This window comes from Homo sapiens, chromosome 21 (genome assembly GCF_000001405.40).
Source record: "Homo sapiens chromosome 21, GRCh38.p14 Primary Assembly".
Classification (NCBI taxonomy): domain Eukaryota; kingdom Metazoa; phylum Chordata; class Mammalia; order Primates; family Hominidae; genus Homo; species Homo sapiens.
The window spans coordinates 24,985,422-25,012,363 of NC_000021.9; the positions used below are offsets into that span (position 1 = coordinate 24,985,422).

The following is a 26,942-nucleotide window of genomic DNA, read 5'->3' on the forward strand; positions in this document are numbered from 1 at the left end:
AACTTTCATGAGTCCTTACCCTGCATAAGCATCATCATTATTATTTTTATTATTATCATCATCATCATCATCATCATTATCACTTATTCTTTCACTTCTCACAGTTATTCCCTAGGCTACTTTCTATTTAAGGAGGTAGGCAGACTTTCTCTCCATTTCCTTATTTGAGGATCACAATCTCTTTACTTCAAGATAATTTAATATTACTTTGAATCTGGGGGAAGTGGCATGTAAAGGACTAAGCTTTATTTATGTTGAGGGTGAGAGAGAGGGAAAACTTACAAGCCTAGGATCAACAAGACAAAGTTGGCATCTTCCACAGAAGGAGCACCAACCTTTTTTGTTGTTTTTGTTAATTAGTAGACTTTTTTGAGCAATCGTATGTTTATTTTAAAAACTGAGAAGAAAATAGAAGTTTCTGTATACACCTTCACCCTTCCCATTTCCTCTATTTTTTTTTTTTTTTTTTTTTTTTTTTGTTGGAGACGGAGTCTTGCTCTGTCACCCAGGCTGGAGTGCAGTGGCATGATCTCGGCTCACTGCAAGCTTCACCTCCCGGGTTCACGCCATTCTCCTGCCTCAGCCTCCCAAGTAGCTGGGACTACAGGTGCCCGCCACCACGCTCAGATAATTTTTTGTATTTTTAACACGGGGTTTCACCGTGTTAGCCAGGATGGTGTCGATCTCCTGACCTCATGATCTGCCCACCTTGGCCTCCCAAAGTGCTGGGATTACAGGCGTGAGCCACTGCACCCAGGCCCTTCCTCTATTATTGATATCTTGCATTACTGTGGTGCATTTGTTACGTTGCTAAATGAACCACTTGTTAATTGTGAAATGAGCCAATATCAATACATTATTGTTAATCAAAGTTCAGAGTTTATATAAGAGTTCACTCTGTATGTTGTATATTCTATGGATTTTGCAAACATACAATAACATGCGTCCACCATTGTAGTATCACACAGAATAGTTGCATTGCCCTAAGAAAAAAAAATTCCTGTGTTCCACCAATTTATCCTTCCCTTCCTCCCCATAATGCTCTGGTGACCATTGATCTATGTACTGTCTCCATAGTTTTACCTTTCCTAAAATGTCACATAATCAGAATCATACAGTACATTCATCTTTTATATTGGTTTCTTTCACTTAGCAATATACAGTGAAGGTTTCCTCACATTTTTTCATGGCTTGATAGCTCATTTCTTTTTAATACTGAATAATTTTCCATTGTATGAATGTACCACAGTTTATCTATTATTGATGTACCAGAGTTTATTTATTCTATTGAAGGATGTCTAGGTTGGTTCCAGGTTTTGACAATTTCTGTAGCCCTTTTTCTTCTCCTAACTCCATCAATTTCATGCTGCCCATCCTTCATTTACTGCCCCATCCAATATAATTGCCTCATTTCTCTCACACTGTCCAAATATCCTTTTACTTCCCTTAATCTCTGCTTCAGGAGGAAGATTCACTGAGTGCCATCTTCAAACTGCGCTTTGTACCTTTACAGAGCTGTTTCCATCTGAAATGCCTTCCTCCTCTAAAATCACGAAATGTGTATTTGTGCGTGTGTTTGTGTGGGTGATACTCAATATATATTTATAAAGCTTACCTACAATTTACATATTGTTTCTGAAAGACCAAATTTTCAATGAATTTTCTTGACAAGTGTATCTTCTTTTTTGTCATAGTCAAAGTCAAGGGATGTAGCCCGTTTTCTGCTGTGAAGCATTCCGTGATGTTGCCGACTAGCCAGGCATCTGAACATCAAATTATTAGCACGTTTTCTAGTCTCTGTTGCTCTCAGTAATAACACCAGCTCTTAACTTAATCTGCACTAGGACATAAATTTATTATGTTAGAATTTGCCCAACACTGTCCTAACTGCTATTTGTTTTAAACATGCCCAAAAGGCATGAGATTGGAAAGTTGATTATTATTACCTCATTTTTTTTTTTTTTTTGGATGAGAAAACAAGAACTCAAGAGATTGTGACTTTCTTACAAGGGAGGGAAGATAAGTATTAAACTAGATCCTGTAAACTCATGCTTACAGTTTTGTTTTTTTCTTAAACAAACCTGACCTCTGCTGCTTCTTAAAGAACCAAACCTGTGTTTGTATGTATTTATCATACCTACATTTTGTTAACCTTTTTTGCATGGTTAAGTCAGAATCTTTCCTGAACTCAAAATTGGCCAAAAAATAGTTTTGTTTCATGCAACCTCTATGTCAAAGTATGAACTCAAATCTGAGCTACTACAATTATTACTTCATATACACCAACACACACACACAAGGAAATGATGAGCATACTAAATCAAATACAATTTTATTTCCTAATGAAATGAGCTAAGCATAAATATGACAAAGTGTGCAGTGGAGAATAATTATCAGCCTTCCTTTATAGACAACATCAGGCTCGGCAAAGTCAATTTGAATATAAATGCAAAATATGTTGAGAACACATTTAGAGAAAAGCAATAATAGTTACTAAAATAGACTATTAAATTATCTTTTAATAACTTTATAATAGCAAATGTAATACTGTGAAAAAGCCCAAGATCTCTAATAAAATCAGGCGAGTCTGATTTGCAAAAATAAATAAGATTTAAATCAGGTTAAATTTTATAAGCAGTGCTATAAAGTGAATTTGTTCTGCTATAGTATCTGCTAGATAGGAGGAATAGTTTGAACAACTAAGTTCTTTCAAATTATCAAGTGTAAGAAATATGATAAGCATGAAAATACACTTAAAGCATGTATGTATAGATGATACTGGCAGTAGTAGTTGTATTACTGTATGTTGCCTATATTTAGATCTGATTTAGGATGTTCATGTGGTATAAATTTTAAAATATGGTTGATATTGAAAAAGGAGCATATTTGTATGAGTGTGTGTGGTTGTGTGTGTGTGTTTTACTATGCAGGATTTTAATATTTATAATATTTGGCATTGACTAGCAATATGGCTTTTTTTTTTTTTTTTGAGATGGAGTATCACTCTGTCGCCCAGGTTGGAGTGCAGTGCTACGAACTCGGCTCACTGCAATCTCCGCCTCCTGGGTTCAAGCAATTCTCCTGTCTCAGCCTCCCCAGTATCTGGGACTACAGGCACCCGCCACCATGCCCGGCTAATTTTTGTATCTTTAGTAGAGACGGGATTTCACCATATTGGTCAGGCTGGTCTCAAACTCCTGACCTCAGGTGATCTGCCCGCCTTGGCCTCCCAAAGTGCTGGGATCACAGGCTGAGCCACCGCACCCTGCCAAGATATCCTTTATGTGCCAGCAGCTAATATTTGGAGCTGATACTCTAAATACAATGTTTGAAAAGAAAAAACAAGAAAAGAAAAACAAATGTGCTCATTTAAGATTAGATTTGTGCTAAGAACATATGGATATATTGTGAGTATAAGTGATTATGGGCATAGATACAATTGTCTCACTTTGGAATATACTGTTCTAGAAAGGTGACTGTAGCAGATTGCAAGAATGACTCCAATTTGTCACTCCCTCCTAGTTTCATCTTTTACCACATACTTTGCAGCATCCTCCATGCTGTAAAGTAGAGGATGCAAAGTGGTGAGGGTTGGAGTGGGGAGGGTTGGAGTGGTGAGGGATGGAGTGGCGAGGATTGGAGTGGCGAGGGCTGGAGTGGCGAGGGATGGAGTGGCGTGGGTTGGAGTGGCGAGGGCTGGAGTGGCGAGGGATGGAGTGGCGTGGGTTGGAGTGGGGAGGGTTGGAGTGGGGAGAGCTGGAGTGGTGAGGGTTGGAGTGGTGAGGGATGGAGTGGTGAGGGTTGGAGTATTGAGGCTTGGAGTAGTGAGAGTTGGAGTGGTGAGGGTTGTAATTTCTTGATTCCGGGCTTAGCCAACTGACTTCCTCTGGCCAGTGAAATATTGGCAGATATAACACAAGTAGAAGTTTTAAAAAGGCTTGTAAGCCCAGGCTTGCTTGCACTTGCCCTGTGCTCTTGCTATGATAATATATATGCTTCGCTTTGCTTCCTGGTCCCAGAAAAAGATGAAAGTCATACAGAACAGAGCCAAATGGTCCCAGTTGCCCCAGATGAGGCCAGTCTACACTAGCCAACAGCCTCCAACCCAAAGATGTATGAGTGACCCCAGCTAAGATCAGCCAAACTTTGCCCTCATAACTAGAAAGCTATCATAATAAATGATTGTTGTTTCAAGCAGTGAGTTTTGGAGATGGCTTACACAGCAATAGCCAACTCACACAGTGATGATATGATCTCCCAGATCAAAATGTTATTCTGTAGACATGAAGAGAAAATGAAGCAGCTGACTCTGGGAAATGAAAGGAAAAACAAAGCTGTTCTGAGAATGTTTTTTGGGGATTCTGTCCCTCATGGGTTTGCAGTAAAAATGATCATGCTACAAATACTGAGAGTAGTTTTGTCCCACAGTTTATAAGTTACACTGCACACTCATATTAATTTTTTCATGTGAAGGTCAAAAAATACTTAGTAGATGGGGCACATATTTCCATATACTTTTTCATAAGTAGATGCACTCCCATAGAGCTAAATGCAGGGCTTGTCAACTCTAGTGCCTTTCCCCATTTCTGACTTGCCCTGCTACATTTTCATACAATAGAGTGTCACTAAGGAGAGCAGAGCAGATAACCCAAGTGACAATGACAAATCACACAGTGCTATCACACAATAGTAGGAAAAAAAATGTTGCATTTCTGAAGACTGGACAAAGTGAACTCGTCCAAGTTCATAGCACAAGCAAAACTCACTTTTTAAGAGTCACTTGGAAATCATTTTCCAACATAAACACTGAGCATCATCCTGAATGCTATCCTAAACCAGGTTCCCCAGGCACTGTGTGCTTTATGCCCCTCTAAATGCAATTTATGGTTGCAAAAAAATCTGGAGTCAAGTAGTTAACAAGGTCTCTGAGTGTTAATATAATAGCCCTTGCTAGGCCAGGTGCGGTGGCTCACACCTGTAATCCCAAAACTTTGGGAGGCTGAGGCAGGCAGATCACCTGAGGTCAGGAGTTCCAGACCAGCCTGCCAACATGGAGAAACCCCATCTGTACTAAAACTACAAAATTAGCTGGTCGTGGTGGCAGGTGCCTGTAATCCCAGCTACTCAGGAGGCTGAGGCAGGAGAATCGCTTGAACCTGGGAGGCGGAGGTTGCAGTGAGCCAAGATTGTGCCAGCCTGGGCAACAAGAGCAAAACTCCATCAAAAAAAAAAAAAAAAAGAAAGCCCTTGCTATAGCTTTTCTGTTGTTGTAGAAAGTCTCATCAATATTCTATCAGTAACTTACTGCCAAGTCATTTTTACCTATAGCAGCAAGTCAGTCCAAATGACTCCAGGAAGTTTCCCTTGTGTGAAAGTCAATGAATCTATCTCCACTTCTTGGAGACAGGAACCAGTCAGAATAATAAAAAATAAAAGCAAAAATAAAATCTTCCAAAAAAGTTGTAGGCAAAATAAAACAATAAGGATCCCAAAAACAAATGGAATCCCAAATAAATACATAAATATTTCTTAAGAAATAATTAATTTTAAACATTAAAAAAGGAAATAAGGCCGGGTGTGGTGGCTCACTCCTGTAATCCCAGCACTTTGGGAGGCTGAGGTGGGCAGATCATGAGGTCAGGAGTTCGAGACAAGCCTGACCAACATGGTGAAACCCTGTCTCTACCAAAAATACAAAAATTAGCCAGGCATGGTGGTAGGCACCTGTAATCCCAGCTACTCAGGAGGCTGAGGCAGGAGAATCGCTTGAACCTGGGAGGTGTGCACTCCAACCTAGGCAACAGAGTGAGACTCCGTCAAAAAAAAAAAACGAAAAAAGAAAAGAGAAAGAAAAAAAAAGAAAAACAACAAAACCTAAAAAAATTAAAAGGAGGGAATTAAATGTATATGTCTCTTCTTTTGCCAGGTAATCCATTCATCAAATATGTATGAATTTTGAGGTAGATAATTTTGTGTAATTTTCTCAGTGTTTTCTTTTTTTGAAAACAGAATCAGCTGTGTGCTGAATATTTTTGTGTAATACATATTTTACCTTTGAGTATGGGCTATTTGATTATTATTCAAGTATAATTGAAACAACCTCATTGTCTGTGGTAAATACCAAGGTTCTTGGCCTCACAGCCAAGGAGATCGAGGTCACGGACACACACAGGCAGAGTGAGTTTTGGAGCAGGAGTTTAGTAAGCAAAAGGAAAGAACAGCTCTTCATTACAGAGAGGGATCTGGAGCGGGGTTGCTGGGTGGTAGAAAAAATATCAGGGGTTTCATAAATGGGCTAGGGAGAGGGGGCTGTTGAGAAGGGGATGTCTTAAGAATAATTCCCTCAATAAACGGCTTCTTCTCCCTCAAACCCAAAGAATAGGAAGCTATCCAGGAGAGAACTGGCAATTAGTCCACCCACATGCCGAAGACAAAGCGCATCCAATACTTCCTAGCGTGGGTAGATATTTTCACTAATTGGGTAGAAGCATTTCCATGCCGTACAGAAAGCGCCTCTGAAGTAATAAAAGTGCTAGTTAATGAAATATCTCCCCGCTTTGGCCTACCTAAGTATCTCCGAAGCGACAACGGCCCCTCATTTAAAGCAGCTGTCATCCAGGAGGTCTCAAAGGCACTAGGCATACAGTGCCATCTCCATTGTGCTTGGAGGCCCCGGTCCTCAGGAAAGGCAGAGAAAACAAACATTATCAAAAGACACCTCAGAAAACTGTCCCAGGAAACTCAACTTCCTTGAGTCATTCTTCTTCCCATAGCTTTACTACGAGTAAGAAATACCCCTTCAAAGTTAGGCCTGAGCCCTCTCGATATACTGTAGGGATGGCCTTTCCTTACAAATGACTTCCTATTAGATCAGGAAACCTCCGAATTAGTTAAGCACGTAACCTCCCTGGCTCATTTCCAACAGGAATTAACACAACTAGCAGAGGCCCAACACAAGGAAACAGGACCACCTCTATTTAACCCAGGAGATTTGGTACTGGTGAAGTCTCTTCCTTCTCTCTCCTGTCTTTAAACCCGAGTTGGGAGGGGCCTTAAACCGTTCTTCTCTCCACCCTCTTGACAATAAAAGTTACCTGAATCTACTCCTGGATACATCACACTTGAGTTAAAGCTTGGAAAACTGAGGGAAAAGTCCCTGACAGCCCAGAAAAACGCCCTGAATATCACTGTGAACAAATAGAGGATCTCAAGCTGAGAACAACCAAAGATAAGTAAATGAATGAGGGCTACTCATTCCACATAGCCCCCTCTTTGCCTTACCAAATCCTCTCAGTTATTTCCACCTTTCCCCTTGAACTTCGCCGCCAGACATTACAACTCTTCTTTGATGCATACTTGCAGGGAGATTTTGACTATCCTTGGGAGTACGTTTGTAAGTTCATAGACCTACAAGGGGAAATTGTATATTCTGGCAAATGGTAAATAAATTTTGGATGGAAATAGCTTACTACATTATAATTGCAGGAATTGCTATACTTACTCTGCTGTTTGCAGTGGGACTATATACCATGATACACAGTGGAATTCTGGACACAGAATTGTACTTGCTGTAATCTTCTGCCTAACTATCACCTTTATAACAGGTCTAATAATTACAGAAAAAAAAGACAAATATGAAGTTCTTGCTACTGAAACTTTTCTTCCTCCTCCTGATAGAGCAGGTCAATCCCCTAAACCCTATAGCCCAACAAATCCAACACCTCGCCTTGGCAGTCAACCTAACTTCATGTTATATTTGTACTTCAGACTCGCTGTCAGCGGAAGTATTACCACTATCATTGGAGGATTTAGCCAAAGTTAACACTCCAGTTACCCTCGCTGCTCAGTCCAATGCAACTTATCCTGATAAGCAAGTCAAGAATATATTTCTCCCAATCATCTCACAAGTTATAAAGGATGGCCACCCAGACCTGAATTTTACAGAAACCCCACCTCCTATAAAAGTCTTTCACAATGTAGATTCAAGGCTCACATTTCCTATTTATTTCATGTCCCAAAGGAAAAAAGGAACTTTCCTGAGAACCTTGTCCAACTGCTCATATGAAGTCTTTCTTAGCTGGACAGCTCAGGAAAGGTCATGTGACTCCTCAGAAAAGAGACTCAAATAGTACCTTAAAGTAAGAAAGCAGCACCAGTTCCTTCTCCTTAAATATCCAAATTCAAGGCAACCTCAATTTACTAGTAACACCAACACTTCTCACATTTCTACGGGTTGGTACTCAGTGTTGATAGATAACTCGCCTTTACCCCTAACCCAAACTTTAGCCTGGGTAGTGCAGAGAATGTTTTTAAATTTCCACCCCAATCATATATTCACCCCCAGCATTTGAGCAGAATTTGCCTCAATATGGGAGGACCTCAGTGGGAACTACTTAAGTACACAAGACCCCCCCATGTAGAGCTGAACTTTTGGGGATACAAAGTGTCTCTAGATCTCAAACGAGAGCTATGCTTCATATGTGGAAATTTGGGGTATATGAGCCCACCAAGTCACTGGAGGAGAACCTGTGGTGTTGCAGCAATACTTTCAAAACTATCCTATGCCAATACTTCCATACAATTCCCATTCCTTATGAAACACCCATATTGTAGTAAAAAAGGCAGCTCACGTAATTCTACTCAGGCAGCTCATGTAATTCTACTCCCTTTAGCAGCTGTTGTAACTGGACTCCTAGGAACCACTGTTCAGTCCGTCTCCCGAAGGTAAATGGGATTACATTTATCCTTTCAGCAAACCCAAGCTCTAGCTGAAATTACGGCTGGCAATCAGGCATGGTGGCTCACGCCTGTAATCCCAGCACTTTGGGAGGCCGAGGCAGGCGGATAACGAGGTCAGAAGTTCAAGACCAGCCTGGCCAATATGGTGAAACCCCATTTCTACCAAAAAAATACAAAAAGTGGCCGGGCATGGTGGCACACACCTGTAATCCCAGCTACTCGGAAGGCTGAGGCAGGAGAATCGCTTGAACCTGGGAGGCAGAGGTTGCAGTGAGCTGAGATCACACCACTGCACTCCAGCCTGGGTGACACAGTAAGACTTCATCTTGAAAAAAAAAAAAAAGGAAAAGAAATTACAGCTGCCATTCAAGAACAGCAATGGCAAATAAACTCACTTGCAGGTATCACCCTGCAAAACCGTATGGGACAGAACCTCCTAATGGCAAGTCAGAGAGGAATATGTGTTTTCCTTAAGGAAGAGTGTTGCTCCTATATTAATGCTTCTGGTAAAGTACAGCAACATCTAGTAGAGGCAACCAATATTATCACCCACGTGCCACAGCACAACCCATCTACATGGCTCACAGGCATCAAACAAACTCTGATGTCATGGTTGTGGTCTATAGTGCCCGCACTAATAATGGTAATCTTAATTAATACTCATATTTAGACCCTATATGCTGAACCTCCTTGTAAAGTTCATCTCTTCTTGCCTAGAAACCATCTAGTTTCAAATGGTGCTGCAAATGGAGCTGAAAATGAAACTGTCCTTCTAAAATGAAACCGCCCTTCTACCGGGGACCCTTAAATTGATCCCTGGAGGAGCCCTAATTGCTGGTCCCCACACAATACCCCTCTCCAGCAGGAAGTGGCCAGAAGAAGTCGTCACCCAATTCCCCCTAACAGCAGTTAGGGATCCCATTGCAGAGGGGAGAAATATGTTATAGGAGACAAAAAGAAATTATTTAGGTAGACAGGGTAAAGCGAGTCCCCGGCAGGAAACTTTCCTTTTAACAAAAAGCAGCTCAAACAGAGCTCCCTTTCTAACCTCATGCAGTTCAAGGATGCCACTTCTCTTCTAACAACAAGCAGCCTGAAAGAGCAGACAACAAAACACAGATAAGACAGCTGGGGCACAGAAGGAGGGGGGAAGGTCTCCTGGATAATCACCAAACTTCACATTTATACCATGGGTCCCAGTAAAACAGTGGGCTGTAATAAGCACATTCCTTTCCCTTTAGGTGCACTAAGATAGGGAAGCTAAAAGCAGATTTGGAGGTATGCCTGCAGCTGCAGGAAGACGTATGGGAACAGACAGAAACTCTCCCTCCCACGTAAGCAAGACAAAGAGACACAGACTAAAAGTTGGCCTATGTGGTCCGGGAATGGAGTGGGAACTGATAAAACAAACAAACAAACAAACAAAAACTCTGCTCTATACAGATAGCATACCTGGCTCAACTGAACCTTTGGGCACCCAGGAGGATAAGACACCCCCTTCTCAACAGCCCCCTTCTCACTAGACCATTTATAAAAACCCTGGCATTTTTACTGCCACCCAGCAACCCACTCAGGACCCCTCTCTGTAACGGAAAGCTGTTCTTTCCTTTTGCCTGTTAAACTCCTGCTCCGAACTCACTGTGTCTGTGTGTGTGTCCATGACCTCTGTCTCCTTCACTGTGAGACCAAAAACCTTGGTAGTATTTACCCCAGACGACGAAGCTGCTTTATAATTATGTTCTTGTAAAGCATTTCTGAAAATGTTATTGCTCCAAATTGTAAAATTGCAAGTTTAATATTAAAAGAAAATAAAACAAAAATTACGTTTTTTCTAATGCCTTCAACTCCTAAATAACCTGAATCGAAGTTACCAGGGAGGTTTTTAGTATTATTAAATACTAGATACTGCCAATTAAAATGAATCCTATATTGCTATATAAAATGAACTTCTGCTGTTTTTTAATATTCTTTGGACAATAATCCACCCATGGCACATTTCAAAAAGTAACTCTGACATAAAAATAGGAAAGTTCTCTACCAGAACATAAAGTTACATCTCTCTTTGATAACAGACTACTTGTAGATTTAGTTTTGTTTTGTTTTTTGTTTCTTTTATACTTCAAGTTCTGGGGTACATGTGCACAATGTGCAGGTTTGTTACATAGGTATACATGTGCCATGTTGGTTTGCTGCATCCATCAACTCGTCATTTACATTATGTATTTCTCCCAATGCTATCCCTCCCCTAGTCCCCCACCCCTGACAGGCCCCGGTGTGTGATGTTCCCCTCCCTGTGTCCAGGCGTTCTCATTGTTAAACTCCCACTTATGAGTGAGAACATGCTTGGTTTTCTGTCCTTGTGATAGTTTGCTGAGAATGATGGTTTCCAGCTTCATCCATGTCCCTGCAAAGGACATGAACTCATCCTTTTTTATGGCTGCATAGTATTCCATGGTGTGTATGTGCCACATTTTCTTTATCCAGTCTATTATTGATGGATATTTGGGTTGGTTCCAAGTCTTTGCTATTGTGAATAGTGCCACAGTAAACATACGTGTGCATGTGTCTTTATAGTAGCATGATTTATAAATCCTTTGGGTATATACCCAGTAATGGGATTGCTGGAAGAAAGAAGGGGGATCAATAGGGAAAAGTTCAATCCTAATACATGTAATCCTTTAGTCAATTACATGTATGTGGCTAAGGACAACTTGGTTCTTTTGAGTGGCAGAGCAATATTATATCACCTAACAATTGAATGACACACAATGGATAAAACATGTGTGATATATATACATACATCTAAAATCACTTTTCCTCCCAGAAAGGGAAAAAGTTACAAGTCACATAAATACAAAAATGCATTTATTTCAGAGACTTTTAAAACATTTATCCTAAAGACAAAAAAAAAAAAAAACCACACAAATACCTGAAACAATCATATAGATCTCAACCCCTCCCAGACAATGACAACACCTAAAATTGTTTCATGATTGAAGTTACCTGTCATTGGCGGGGCGCGGTGGCTCACGCCTGTAATCCCAGCACTTTGGGAGACCACGGCAGGCGGATCACGAAGTCAGGAGATCAAGGCCATCCTGGCTAACACGGTGAAACCCCATCTCTACTAAAAAAATACAAAAAAATTAGCTGGGCGTGGTGGCGGGCACCTGTAGTCCCAGCTACTCTGGAGGCTGAGGCAGGAGAATGGCGTGAACCCCGGAGGCGGAGCTTGCAGTGAGCCGAGATCGCACCGCTGCACTCCAGCCTGGGCGACAGAGCGAGACTGTGTCTCAAATAAATAAATAAATAAATAAATAAATAAATAAATAAAAATAAGTTACCTGTCATCTGAATGTTATATATCTATGTTATACATTTACTATATTTTGTATTCGTGTTTAATCATGAACACATTCTACTAAATATGAGAAAGATTCTGTATGATTCTGGATCCTGCCCTAAGAACAGTGTATCCTCAAATAACAGTCCTGCTTGTGCACTTATCTTCTCACTCTGTAGCCATTTCTAATAAAGCCACTAACTTTGCTCTTTAGATTAGAATTTACCCACATGATTCTTGAGATCAGTGCTACCTATAGTTCACCTAGGAATGTTCCATCCTTAGTCATCCAGGAAAGTCCATAAAAACTGTCAATTAACAGTTTAGTCACAATGTGATACCAAAAAATCCCATCATTAGAAACCAATTTGCAAGGTGGGCTCTGATTTTCCTACTCAAAAATGACAGGCAAAAAAAAAAAATTTACTTTAATTATTTTCGGACTAGGATCTGAGGTGAGAAATCACCTCTGTACTTTTGCCCAGGATCATCTGGAGATAGAAACCACAAGGAAAGCAGAAACTTCCCCCACCATCCCTCCACCACAAGTCCTATGGTCTGTTTTAACCAGACCAGCCAGCCCTGTTTTACTCTATCTGAGTAAAGTTGTGTTTAAAGAAAATAATTCATTGGTTAAAAAAATAAATAAAATGACTAACTTAGTTCAAGTCTTAATATTAAATATTAAGCTTAGTTCAGTTCTGAACATTAAAATATTAGGCTTCCCCCACCATCCCTCCACCACAAGTCCTATGGTCTGTTTTAACCAAACCAGCCAGCCCTGTTTTACTCTATCTGAGTAAAGTTGTGTTTAAAAAAAATAATTCATTGGTTAAAAAAATAAATAAAATGACTAACTTAGTTCAAGTCTTAATATTAAATATTAACCTTAGTTCAATTCTTAATATTAAAATATTAGGCTTAGAATGGTTATAAATATATAAACCTTTTATCACTGGAGAATGAAAATTAAAGAAGTAACACAATTTTTCCTGATTAAATTTATAAAAATTATCTTGTTTGAATGTCTAATCTTCTACTTCCGTTTCTAAGTATAAATTTTACATAGACACCTATAGAATTCAATCAATTAAAATTTAAATTAAAAAATATAGGCTACTTTATGGTTTTGTTTGGTGATTTAATTACTTCAGTCAGTATTTATTAACTTGGCTTTTATTTCACCATATCAATATTTACCAGCTGAGTTTTAACTTCGGTTATATAAGTATCTATAATACATTTAAAATATTCGCTAGAATAGAGTGGTATAGTGGACACTGAAGACTCAGAAGAGGACGAGGGTGATGAGTAAGGAATGAAAAAATACCTATTGGGTACAATGTGCACCATTTGGGTGTCAGATACGCTCAAAGCTCAGACTTTATCACTGTATAATTCTTTCAGGTAACCAAAAACCACTTGTACCCCTAAAACTATTAAAATGTGTTTTAAAGTATATCATAAATACAAAAAAAATAATAAAATAAAATATTCTCTAGGTATAAAATGTTCAATAAAGTGTTAGAATTAGGGTAAAACAGACAAAAATGGAAATGGGCAAATTGTAAAGATCAGACAGACTCATCAGAGAACAGTAGGTGGCTAGGACATACTGAAGAAAGAGGCGTAACAGTAAAATTTTGAAAGTCAAAATCCAACATAGATTGGCAAGTCAATTCTCACATTTTTGATGAAAAGAGAAATAATTACCATGGCAGTACAATAGTAAAACAATGTCGATGAGTGCTTAGTGGGATCTTGCCAAAGTTAAAGTGTAGCTCCGTATTTTTATTTTTCTGTTTTCAACTTTATAGTGGCTTTATATGAAACTTAAAACGCAGAGTCCTTGACCAATTTCTGCATGGCCCTACTTTTCTGACATCATTGCACTCTTTTTTTTTCTTTTTTTTCTTTTTTCTTTTTTTTGGCACATATATAGTTTGCTTTCATACTAGAATGTAAGTTCCCTGAGGCAGGGACTCACGCACTCCTGGCTTGTTCGCTCCCTCTGTCCCCAGCCTGACACCTAAGTGTCTTTAAAAATGTTCGTTGACTATCAACATAATTGACTGGCTATTGGAATCATGCAGCACTGGAAAGCCAAGTTATAGGATGATTGATTTATCGAGCATTTACTCAGAGAATGGAGGCTGGACAGTCTGAGGTATATTTTTTTAGTTCACTCTTTTTAGCAAATAATTTTTGAACTTATGCTTTTTACTTACCCATTTATTTCTTCATTTACAAAACATAGGATGAGAACTTATCATGTGCTAGGAACTATTTTAGGTGCTGAGAGTAAATATTTTAATCACAACAGATAAGAACTCTCTTCTCATAGACTTGGTATTTATTTTTGTTTTCTGTCCTTTTCTTTTTCCTCTTTATTTTATTTTTTGGCATGTAGAGAAAGAATCTATCTTTGCAGAGTGGAAAGTGCCAGGAAGAAACTAAAACTAATTAATATTATAGAGACTGACTTACCCTTCTCACTCCAATGCTGAGTGGCATCTCAAGGAAGTAACATTTGAATCGAATTTCAAGACAAGAAGGAACCAGCTAAGAAATTATTTGTCAGGAAAATGTTCCAAGTGGTAACACAGCTGGTGACAAGGCCCTAAGGCAACAGCAAATGTGGAATAATCAAGGAAGAGAGGAATACTAGTTGAAATGTAGAATGGGCACTGGGGAGAAAGTTGTGAGATGAGCTGGGGAGGAAAGAGTGATTTATATGCCCTGGTCAGACATTTCAAGTTCATTCTACATGAAATGAAACACCACTGGAGCATTTTAAGTGGAAGAATGATGTAATACAGATTGCATTTTAAAAGATAATTTTGTTGCTAGGTAAGGAGTTGATATGGTTTGGCTATGTCCCCAACCAAATCTCATCTTGAATTGTAGCTCCCATGATTCCCATATGTTATGGGAGGGACCTGGTAGGAGATCATTGAATTATGGGGGCAGTTCCTCCATACTGTCTCATGAATAAGACTCAGTGAGTAAGTCTCATGAGATCTGAAGGTTTTATAAGGGAAACCCCTTTCACTATGCTCTCATTCCCTCTTGCCCACCACCACATCAGAAGTCCCAATGCTCTCCCTTCGTCTTCCGCCATGATTGTGAGGCCTCCCAAGCCATGTGGAGCTGTGAATCAATTAAAGCTGTTTCTTTTATAAATTACCCAGTCTCAGGGATGTCTGCAGCATGAGACCAGACTAATACAAGAGTAGACTGAGGGGAGGCAAGAGTAGAAGCAGGTAGAAAATACTAAGGCACCATGTTATTCGTTAGGACTAAGATGGAACGATTAGTGACCTACCTGCACAAAACCTACAATCTCTATGAAAAACACAACACTCTGCTCATTCTAGAAGTCTGTCACTTTAAAAACTAAAAGTGGCCTCTAGATTTTGAGAAAATTCACCTGTGGCCATGCTTAAGGCCATAACATCTTCTCAAAATTTAGCTCTTATTTCAGGAAATAAAGTAATACATTCCTAGAATTTTCATGTAACAGGTAAAAAAAAAAATCCTGCTTTAAATTTCACTCCAATACTATAGTTGTTTTTTTCCCAAATTTCTCAATTCTTACATATATATTGGTAATATTTATTTCCTTTTCGCTAGTCTTTGCACTTAAACAAAATTTATTCTGAATTGTTATATTTAAAAATATTTACTGGGCTCACTTTTGCATTAAAAAACAATTATTACTACACACAATAAATAATGCCTGTGGACTTTTATATACTATAAAAGACAGAATTAGTTAAAATTGCTACAAAACAAAGTCCTGAATACTTTTAATTATGTAAAACTCAGATTCTTACAATTAAGAACACTAGGTTCCCACAGAAAATGTAAGGCAATGGAATTTAAACATACGAAGAGAGAGCAAGAGAGGGATTAGCCCCATTGGACATTAAGAAAAGAAAAAAAAAGCTCTATTGGACTTTAAGAAAAAATAAAAACAAAGGATCAACTAGGTCTTCCATGGTGGCTGGGGGAAAACCTATTTTTTTAAGGAAATGTCTGAAAGCGTATGCCTAATGCCAACACTTTTCAGAGATATCAATGAAAAGAATAGAGAAGATTTTTAGTTTCATGATATCAATGTATGAGAAAATTACAAGAGTAAAAGGGAAAATCATCTTCTCTCTCTTAGAAGAGTTGCACAATGTATAAATGGCTAAAACAATGACCTAGGAAAGAGTTTTCAAGAGAGGAACTATTGAACTTTTGAAGTTACTTTCTGATTATTATATCTTTATGACCAAAAATGTTGTGTTTAGAGAGCTATACTGTCAAATACATAATCCAGTACTAAAAGAATGGCTGTATTCCCAGAGTAGCAAAGAATCATAATATCAAAGGAGAGTAAAGATAATTCTCTTCAAGTAATAAAGTGAATTTAGATAAGCAACCAATTAGAAACAATTTTTTAAATTTATCTTTTTGACTTCAGGTTAACCTCCCTGTATATTTATTTTACCTGAGAAAAAAAATTAACATTCATTGCCACATAAAAGCACAACTAAAATACAGTTGGAAACAGTGTGCTTTTGACAAAAGAACTATATCACTGAGTTCTAAAGACAACATTTTTCTCAAGTATGTCAAACACATGTAATTATATTTTCATGTTTTCACATTCATAGTCAAATTATTTAGATAACTTATTTCAATAAAATATCTTCTTTTGGTAATATTGTGCTCTGTAAATGGAGAGGAAAATAACCTATATCTACTCCAATTTTTTTCCCTTACAGAATTATTTTCCACATAATGCCACGTTCTACCTTCTAAGCACCAAATAAAGGAAAATTGATATGTGGCTTTCAGCTGCCTGTATCAAATATAAATGTAGGCAAATGAAAGAGATATGTTTAAGAAATGTGTAGATCATTTATATGTTATGAAACAACTTTGAAATATTTTTGATGTTTTATTTTGCGGCAATAATTGTCACAAAATAGGACCAAATGTGTCTGTTTAAGAAAAAAAAAAAATCAAGGACCAATGTAGAAGGGAAACCGTGCTCAGGCATAGAACGACAATATCCAGGAGACTCAGGTTATTGAAGGAGAAAACGTTAAAGAGAAATTTGGGCTTCAGAGACTGTAAATGCCACATGCTATTAAACTATAAAGATTGCTTTCTGAAACTGTTTATTCCTGAAAGTGAGTGGGGAAATCTTATGGCTAAAAGAAACAGAATAGAATGAGTTTCCAGTGTGTCTTGGGATTCAGTGTTTACTTTTCACCTTATTTGCTCAGAGTAGAAGATGAAAATAGGGAGAGAAAATACAAGTTTGGCTCAGAGATCCAAAACTGAAAAGAGGAGGTGGCAAGTTTAGCTAGAAAGGTCAAAGTCCTGCCGGAAGTTTGCTTTCATGTTCACTGGAGCCGAGTTGGTTCTTTTTACATGAGAAATCCCTTCAAGCCACAAAATTGTGAGATACTGGAAGGAAAGTGTATTTATTAGTCCATTCTCATGCTGCTATGAAGAAATACCCAAGACTGGGTAATTTTTAAAGGAAAGAGAAATCAAATTCATATGTTTCATGATCAAACTCATAATCACAGTGCACCATCAATCACTTAATAATAAAAATGTAGATTGTCTTTCCTTAATTGAGTAGAAGGCAATTAGAACTTAGCACAAACCACTATCCCTCCCACCCATTCCCCAAAACACAGAATGGTGAAAAAGCATGAAATTATTTCTCCCTGATGAAGACAACTGCCTTCTCCATTCTGAAAATAATTTCAAGTACCTCAACTGAGACACAATCTATTTCTAGTTCTCATGTATATTTGTGTGAGATGGTACAACCTCTTGAATGTCATGTATTTTGTTCTGCATGTGGTCATTCTTCAAGCTTGACTATTAGATATTTTGCTCTTTTATTTCTCTCCTGTCCTTGATGAGATCTTTTTTGCCCTAATGATTCTAAAATTCACATCTCTGCCCTACCTTTTTTTGTTGCTGTTCATTTAGATTTATTTTGATTCAAAGTTCTACTTTATATTGCTTCCCATTTTACAAAAACACTATACGTGAATAAAGAAAATCATTACTTCTGGCTCTAAACCATGACCTATCTCTGGCTTCTCCCATACTACAAATGGTAGCACAATTAACCCTTTAACCAATTTCCAAAGATGACGGTAGAAAAAGAAGCTAATTCTTCATTTCCAATTTTCAAGTTTGTAATGATATATCTCACAGCTTCAGTCTAGATCCTCAATCTTAGTGCATCACAAAAGCAGTAACACTTGCTTTCTTGTTTTAAAATGAAATCATCATACATTGACCACACTGATCACCATTTCCCCTTTAGGCCCTAGTTGTTATAACTTGAACTAAATGTTAACTGTAAGCTACAATACTCTCACCTACCAGCTTTGTCAGCTCTTTCCCAACTTTTCTAATTTGTGTTAATTTGGCAAGCTGTTTTCACAATTTGAATTTTACTATTATATAACCTGCCTATAATTTTGTCTTCATTCCTTGAAAATGCTATTTTAAGTCTCACATTCTTCGCCATGTATTCTGTGCAAAAAGTTCTACTTGATTCTAGGTCATTGCAGCACTCTGGCATCTCACATTTATTTAAAGAGAGAAAGCTAGCTAAATATGTGACTTTGGCTGGGTGTGGTGGCTCAACCTGTACTCCCAACCCTTTGGGAGGCCAAGGCAGGCGGATCACCTGAGGTCAGGAGTTCCAGACCAGCCTGGCCAACATGGTGAAACCCCGTCTCTACTAAAAATACAATATTAGCTGGGTGTGGCGGCATGTGCCTGTAGTCCCAGGTACTCGGGAGCTGAGGCAGGAGAAGTATTTGAACCCGGAGAGGGGGGGGGGGTGGAGGTTGCACCTCCATGTTTTTCATTTAAGTTATTTAGCTATATTCTTAAAGAATATTCTTTGTTCTTTAAGAATATTCTTTGACTTTTCTAAATATTTCATACGATAGTTTTATGGGTGAGAGTTTTAAAATAAAATCTATCACAATAAAATAAATTTATTTTTATTTTAAACTCTGAACAATTTTCCAAATACTTGAGGCAGAAAGTTTTCTCTCTCCACATTGACTCTCCATACAATAAGTACATGTAATTTATTCTAGTGAAAAGATTCCTACTCAACATTGGAGATCAATATGCCTTTACTGAAACCATTCAAGCATTCAAAAAATATTCATTGTCCAACACCTGTACCCAACTAGGATCATTAACTCAGACTGGTTAAGGAAAGACAAATAAAACAAGTCATGTATTCCCCTGCCTTCATAGAGTTCATGTTATGAAGGGGCAGACAGAAAGCAGATAGTAAAAACATAAATAATGTTTATAATTGGCTGAAATGCATAACACCCTGACTCATATGTTAAAACCCTAATCCTCAGTACCTTAGTGTGTGCTGTATTTGGAGACAAGACCTTAACAGAGGGGATTAAGTTAAAATGAAGCCATTATGGTAGGTCCTAATCCCATCTGACTATTGCCCTTTCCAAGAAAAGGAAATTGGACATGTGAAGAGGCATTAAGGGTGCCCATGCCCAGAGGGCCAACCATGAGGAGAGACACAACATGGTGGCCATCCACAAGTCAAGGAGAGAAGCTTCAGGAGAAACCAACCCTGCTGGCACTTTGATCTTGGACTTCCAGCCTGCAGAGCTGTAAGGAAGTAAATATCTGTTGTTTAAGCCATCCAATATGTGACATTTTGTTATAGTCGCCCTAGCAAATAAATATAGCACCAAACAGTGATACATCCTACAAAAAACAGAAAAGAAGGGATGGATGTGATCTGACTTTAGAGGTTGTAGAAGTCTCTTTGAGGAGCTGACATTTGAGTTGAGACATGAATTTTAAAAAGAATTTTTGAGGAAGCTGACATTTGAGCTGCTAAGTGAATTACGAGATCATTTGGGTGAAGATAAACTATAAAGTGCAAAGTCCCTACGGCGAGACAAGCTTGGCTTGCTCTGACAGCGAAAAGGCCAGGGTGAGTGGAGTTAGTGAGCATGGGGGAAATTGTGGTCTAAGATGAGGAAAAATCAAAAACAGTCCAGCTGTCACTGGGTCTTGTAGGCAGGGAGAGGAGTTTATGTTGTCACTCTGAGATGAGTCATTGAAAGATATTAAGCAATCCTTTTAAGTCTGGTTTAAATTTAAGTGAAAAAATTAAAAAAGCACGCAGAGACGGCTTCCTTTTCTAAATATCCCCCAGGTATGATTTTGCTCTCATCCTGCTCAAAACGGAGTAGCCATCTTTAAAAAACAAACAAACAAACAAAAAAAACATTTGAATTTCTAATATTGTGCACAAAACTTTCAAATAAAAACAGCTTTACTGTGCTTTACTATATTTTATAGAGAGGAAACTCATTTCTAAACCATCTTTTAAGAATTAGCAGTATGCCCAGAGATAGAGAAATACTACATCTTTTATTTTGTGCTCTATTTAAATCAAATTAATTTTATATTCCCTAGTCATTATAAAGCCCATAATTATTTAGTTAATTGGACTATAGGACAAACATAATGGATACTTTTTTTTCTTTTTTTTTTTTTTTTACAGAGTCTTGCTCTGTCACCTAGGCTGGAGTACAGTGGTGTGATCTTGGCTCACTGCAAGCTCCACCTCCTGGGTTCAAGGATTCTCCCACCTCAGCCTCCCGAGTAGCTGGGATTACAGACACCTGCCATCATGCCCAGCTAAATTTTGTAGTTTTGTAGAGATGGGGTTTCATCATGTTGGCCAGGCTGGTCTTGAACTCCAGACCTCAAGTGATCCATCTACCTCCCAAAGTGCTGGGATTACAGTTTTGAGCCACTGCACCTGGCCACCATGGATACTTTCAGTTGATAATTTGTGAGTTTTTGCTTACAGCATTTTGTTGATTAGTCTTAAAATATCGTGTAGAAAGCATTGATACAAGAATCTATCACAGAGTGTTAGTAATTTAAAAAGTTATTGTTAGTAAAATATAACAAATGAAATATATTTAGAAGTAAAATACTACACTACTAATATAGAGATTCCTCAGGATGAGAGTTGAGTGTCTGCAGATACTACATTTTAGATATCTCCAAGAAAGAGCTCAGGTTTTATGATTTTTTTTTTCTGTTATAAGTTGAGTGTATTACATAGAGATGCTCAATTTTAACCACAGAGGGCCTCTTTATTTACTTGGCGGATTATTAAATATTCTGCTTTTTTCCCACTCTACTCTGTAAGAGTAACATGATTGTTATCAAGCGGAAGAGGCTTGCTGCCCAATGTTCTAGAAGCCAATACTATGACACCAGGTTCTTAAAAAAAAAAAAGCTTTGTATTGAAAGTCAACTCCCAACGTGAGAGAGTGTTAAGCTCAAATCTATCTCTCTGTCTTGGCTTCAAACAGTATTTGTATTAGAAAAGTTTCAGAGGCCAGGCACGGTGGCTCGCTCTTGTAATCCCAGCACTTTGGGAAGCCAAGGTGGGCTGATCAGCTGAGGTCAGGAGTTCACGACCAGTCTGGCCAATATCGTGAAACCTCATCTCTACTAAAAATACAAAAATTAGCCGGGTGTTGTGGCACGCGCCTGTAGTCCCAGCTACTCAGGAGGCTGAGGCAGGAGAATTGCTTGAACTCGGGAGGCGGAGGTTGCAGTGAGCCAAGATCGTGCCACTGCACTCCAGCCTGGACAGCAGAACGAGACTCTGTCTCAAGAAAAAAAAAAGAAAAAGAAAAAAAAAAGAAAAGGAAAGGAAAGGAGAAAGTAAAGAAGAAGGGAAGGGAAGGGAGGGGAGGAGAAGGGGAAGGGAGGGGAAGGGGAAAGGAGGGGAAGGGAGGGGAAGGGAAGTTGAATCCACATGTTGAAAAAGGTGCCTGGTCCAGGCACGTGGCTCACACCTGTAATCCCAGCACTTTGGGAGGTTAAAGCGGGCAGATCACCTGAGGTCAGGAGCTGGAGACCAGCCTGACCAACATGACGAAACCCTGTCTCCACTAAAAATACAAAAATTAACGAGGCATAATTGCGCATGCCTGTAATCTCAGCTACTCGGAAGGCTAAGGCAGGAGAATCGATTGAACCTGGGAGGCGGAAGTTGCAGTGAGCTGAAATTGTGCCATTGCACTCCAGCCTAGGGCGACAAGAGTGAAACTCTGTCTCAAAAAAGAAAAGAAAAAGGTGTGTGGTGCGAGGTAATTGGATTATGGGGATGGACTTCTCCTTTGCTGTTCTCATGATAGTGAGTGAGTTCTTACGAGATCTGGTTGTTTAAAAGTGTGTGGTACCTCCCCTTTCTCACTCTCTCTCTCTCTGTGGCCACGTAAGACATGCCTGCTTCCCCTTCCCCTTCTGCCATGATTGTAAGTTTCCTGAGGCCTCTGCAGCCATGCTGTCTGTACAGCCTGCAGACCTGGGAGTCAATTAAACCTCTTTTATTTATAAATTAGCCAGTCTCAGGTAGTTCTTTACAGCAATGGGAGAACAGACTAATATACTTAATTATAAATATGATGTCACTAGTTTATGTATTTACTATACTACACTTTTTATCATTATTTTATAGTAAACTTCACTTCTATTTATTACAAAAAGAAGTTACATGTAAAATAACATCAGACAGGTCCTTCAGAAGATATGCAAGAAACAGGTATTGTTATCTTGAGATGGCAGCTCGAGGTTTGTTACTGTCCTTGAACAGCTTCCAGTGGACAAGATGTGGAGGTGGCAGACAGTGACATTGATCATTCTGACCCTGTGTAGGCTAATGTATGTGTATGTATCTTAATTTGTAACCAAAACAAGTGTAAACATTTTTTAAAAAATCAAAAAATAGACAAATGCTTGTAGAATAAGGACATAAAGAAGGAAAATCTCTTTGTACAGCTGTACAACATGTTTGTGTTTTTAGCTAAATGTTAATGCAAAAGCATCAAAAAAGTTAAAAAATATAAAAGTTTATGAAGTAAAAAGCTTTCAGTGGGTAAAGTTAACATATTATTGTAGAAAAAAATCTGTATTTTATAAATTTGATGTGGCCTAAGTGTATAGTGTTTATAAGTCTACAGTCGTGTACAGTAATGTCCTACGACTTCATGTTCAATCACCCCTCACTCATTGACTCACCTAGAAAAACTTCTGGTCCTGCAAGCTCCATTCTTGGTAAATGCCCTATACAGGTGTACCATTTTTTATCTTCCATATCATTTTTACAGTAGCTTTTCTATGTTTAAGGATATTTTGATGCACAAATACTTATCATTGTATTACAATTGCCTTCAGTTGTTGGTACAGTAACATGCTGTACAGCTTTGTAGCCCAGGAGCAATAGGCTATGCCTTATAGCCTAGGTCTGCAATAGGGTATACAATCTAAGTTTGTGTAAAAACACTCTAGGATATTCACATAGTGATGAGATTGCCTGAGGACACATTTCTCAAAACACTCTGTATGTAAATTCTACAAAAACTCATGTGTTACATTTCTATGCAAGTCTCGGCCAGGCGCGGTGGCTCACGCCTGTAATCCCAGCACTTTGGGAAGCCGACGCGGGCGGATCACGAGGTCAGGAGATGGAGACCATCCTGGCTAACACAGTGAAACCCCGTCTCTGCTAAAAATACAAAAAATTAGCCAGGCGTGGTGGCGGGCGCCTGTAGTCCCAGCTACTCGGGAGGCTGAGGCAGGAGAATGGCGTGAACCCAGGAAGTGGAGCTTGCAGTGAGCCGAGATGGAGCCACTGCACTCCAGCCTGGGCGACAGAGCAAAACTCCATCTCAAAAAAAAAAAAAAAAAAAAAAAAAAAAAAAGAAGGCAAGTCTCCAGATGGGAAGAGATGGCCTCCCCATGCAAAGTTAACTCACATTTGTAGCACCTTTATTTTGGCTCTGTTTACATCACACCTTCCCTAACAGGGTCAACTTGCTCAGATCTCTAAAACCAAGTACTTATCACCTGAAAACTCCTTTGAGATTCTTTTGTAATATGCATATTCCAAAGTCAATGTCAACATATTAAGATGTTACTTATTTTAATCTGTAAACAATCATTAACATATAGTATATTTGTAGACAAATATACTTTGATTTTCTAAGCATTTATCTCTCAAGCAACAAAACATCCCAAAAATGATTTGTAATTTTATGTTCAAATTTTTTTCATTGTCAAAGCACGCAGAAACACACATTTTCTGAATTAGTCCACATTTTTTATCTTCCAATTATTATCTAGAACTTTTTTCAGTATTGTTCTTATAAAATAGTAACATCTTCTTGCTACAGTCAGAAAATGTAAATGTTTAGGCCAAAATAATTGGAGAAAATATAATGACTCAAAACACTATTCAGAGAAAGGGCATGATATGGGAGGGTTTTTGTGGACAGAGAGTGCAAGAACTTTTCGATAGGGGAGATCTAAACTTACATTTTCAGAAAAGAAAAGGAAAACAGATAAATATCAAGAACATATTTTAATTAACTGCTGAAAATCCTAATTAAATAACTATGCACTTGTTAATTTCATAAGATGCATTATACAACCAAAAGATATTTTGCCAGTGATGATAAAATGCCTAATCACCTGGGTAAGTCTTAGATTCCCCAGAGAAGATGCAGAATGTATCTTTTAGTATCAGGTCAGCGAGTCAAATTTCTCTAGAGGTTAATATCATTAGAAATTTCAGTGCCTGAAACATGTCATATTTGTGTTTTATTCACAAAGATGACAGATTGCTCAGGTCTCTACCAAATCTAGTATTTTTCTGTCCTAGTTTCAATAATAGGTTGCTGCTTCAGATCAATATAGCAAGCAAATTAAATCATAAAGCTCAAAAAGAGAAAGGAATTCTGTTGCTATCCATCTCATCACAAAATATCCTCACCATTACTTCAAAATTGAATTCATGGCTTCATGAAATATCACTTACATTCAATCATAAATTGAAATACTGGCATATATATATATACACACACACATACACACATGCATATTTATTAGTTGCTTTTGTGTACATTTTCTCTTTAACTCTCACTTCATTCCCATAACATAGGCATGTAATAATAAATTATTAATTTTTAAAGTTTAGGTCTGTGTTACTGATTGTGTTCTATATGACAGCCATTATGTAGGTGTTGAAATGCAACAACAAGTTTAAAAAAAAAAAAACAGCAAATATCCTTACACTGAGAGAGACTAGAATGGAACAGGGACTGAATAGTAAGTGTTAAATGAAAAATCACACAAATAAATGTAAAATTGCAATTCTGATAAGTGTTAGAAGGCAAATACAAGATTCCTAACAAGAGAATTTGAACTACTCACATATTTAAATGGAAAGTGTCCTGTGATTATTGAATTGAGATCTAAAAGATGAAGGAGTGAAAAGGAGTGTTCCTTTCTTAGGGCTGCTGTAACAAAGAACCACAAGCTGAGTGACTTAAAGAAACAAACATTTATTCTCTCACAGTTCTATAGGATAGAAGTCTTGTGATGGAGCAAGTAGGGGCATTTGATATGGAAAGGGTTGATTTAGGGAGACCAATTAGTGAACCAGAATTGTAAAGGATTGAGATGTAGTTAGACATAAAATGACAGGTTCTGGAAATGGATTAGTAAAAGGTATGAGGAAAATAGAGTTATCAAGAATGATTCAGTGTTCCTTGGCTTGTGGCAGCCAAGATGTTCCAATCTTGGCCTTCATCATGACATGGCATTCTCCCCTTGTATCTCCACATTATCTTTTGTGCATGCATGCCTCTGTGTCCAAATTTTCCCTTATCCTAACAACAGTCATATTGAATTCAGGCCCATCCTAATGACCTCATTGCAACTTGATTACATCTGTGAAGATCTTATTCTGAAATAAGCTCACATTCACAGATATGGGGGTTAGAATTAAACATATTTTTGAGGGACACAATTCATCCCATAACAGAGAGGGTAGTTAGCATTTCAGGTCAAGGGCCCATGGCTGGAGAGAACCTGATGCATTTGGGTAACTGATGTGGCCAGATCAAAGAGAAGAATGACATGAAATGGAATTGTACATGAAGGCAAGGAGATGGAGGCCAAGATAAAACCAACAGAAAGCATTTGAAAAGTTTGTAAGGGTAGATGGCAACTTTGGCTTCAGTGCTTAGAATGGATCATATGAATATGTGTTGGAGCAAGTAGGTGCATTTGATATGGAAAGGGTTGATTTGGGGAGGCCTGTTAGGAAACTATTAGAGTCATCCAGGTGAACCAGAAGTGGATACGATCGAGATGTAGTTAGACATAAAATGACAGGTTCTGGAGATGGATTAGCAAAAGGTATGAGGAAAACAGGGTTATGAAGAATGATTCCCTTGTTTCCAAGTTGCAAAATTAGGAAGAAGACAGTGTCATTTGGGGAGGTTAAAAATTACCATTTGATATATAAGATTAGGGAGATTGTGAATTCAAGTTTAGGTGTCAAGTGTGAGGTTGCGTAGAGTAGACCAAGAGGAGATATTTTGTAGGGAGTTAACTAAATATGTGAAGCGTCCAAAGAAATCAAGGTTAATTTTCATTAAGTTTAATTGTGGGGTCATCGGTGTCATTCAAGGTAGTTGAAATTCTGTCTCCTATAAGCTTATATTTATAATATGTTATTTAAGATTTGTAAAAATGTAAAAAGAACCAATATGAAGACTTTATTAATTAATTCATTTTCTAATTGAGGTAAAATTCACATAATATAAAAGTAACCATTTAAAATTGTACAATGCAATGGCGTAAGTACATTTACAGTGTTGTGTAACCACCACCTCTCTATCTAATTCCAAACTATTTTCATCTCCCCAAAAGAAATCTCTGTACGCAATAAAGC

General features: G+C 38.2%; 2 long non-coding RNA genes across 2 annotated transcripts in view; one reads left to right on the forward strand and one right to left on the reverse strand.

Moving 5' to 3' along the window:
- Positions 1 to 26,942, forward strand: part of LINC01692 (long intergenic non-protein coding RNA 1692) — a 217,197-nt gene that overhangs the window by 144,872 nt on the left and 45,383 nt on the right. The gene's annotated exons all lie outside the window — the stretch shown is intronic.
- On the reverse strand, positions 1,644 to 7,634 carry LOC107985516 (uncharacterized). Its single transcript, XR_001754982.1, has 3 exons — positions 7,502 to 7,634; positions 6,567 to 7,407; positions 1,644 to 1,840 (listed from the first exon to the last, which is right to left on the reverse strand). It is a non-coding gene; the product is annotated as an uncharacterized LOC107985516 (long non-coding RNA).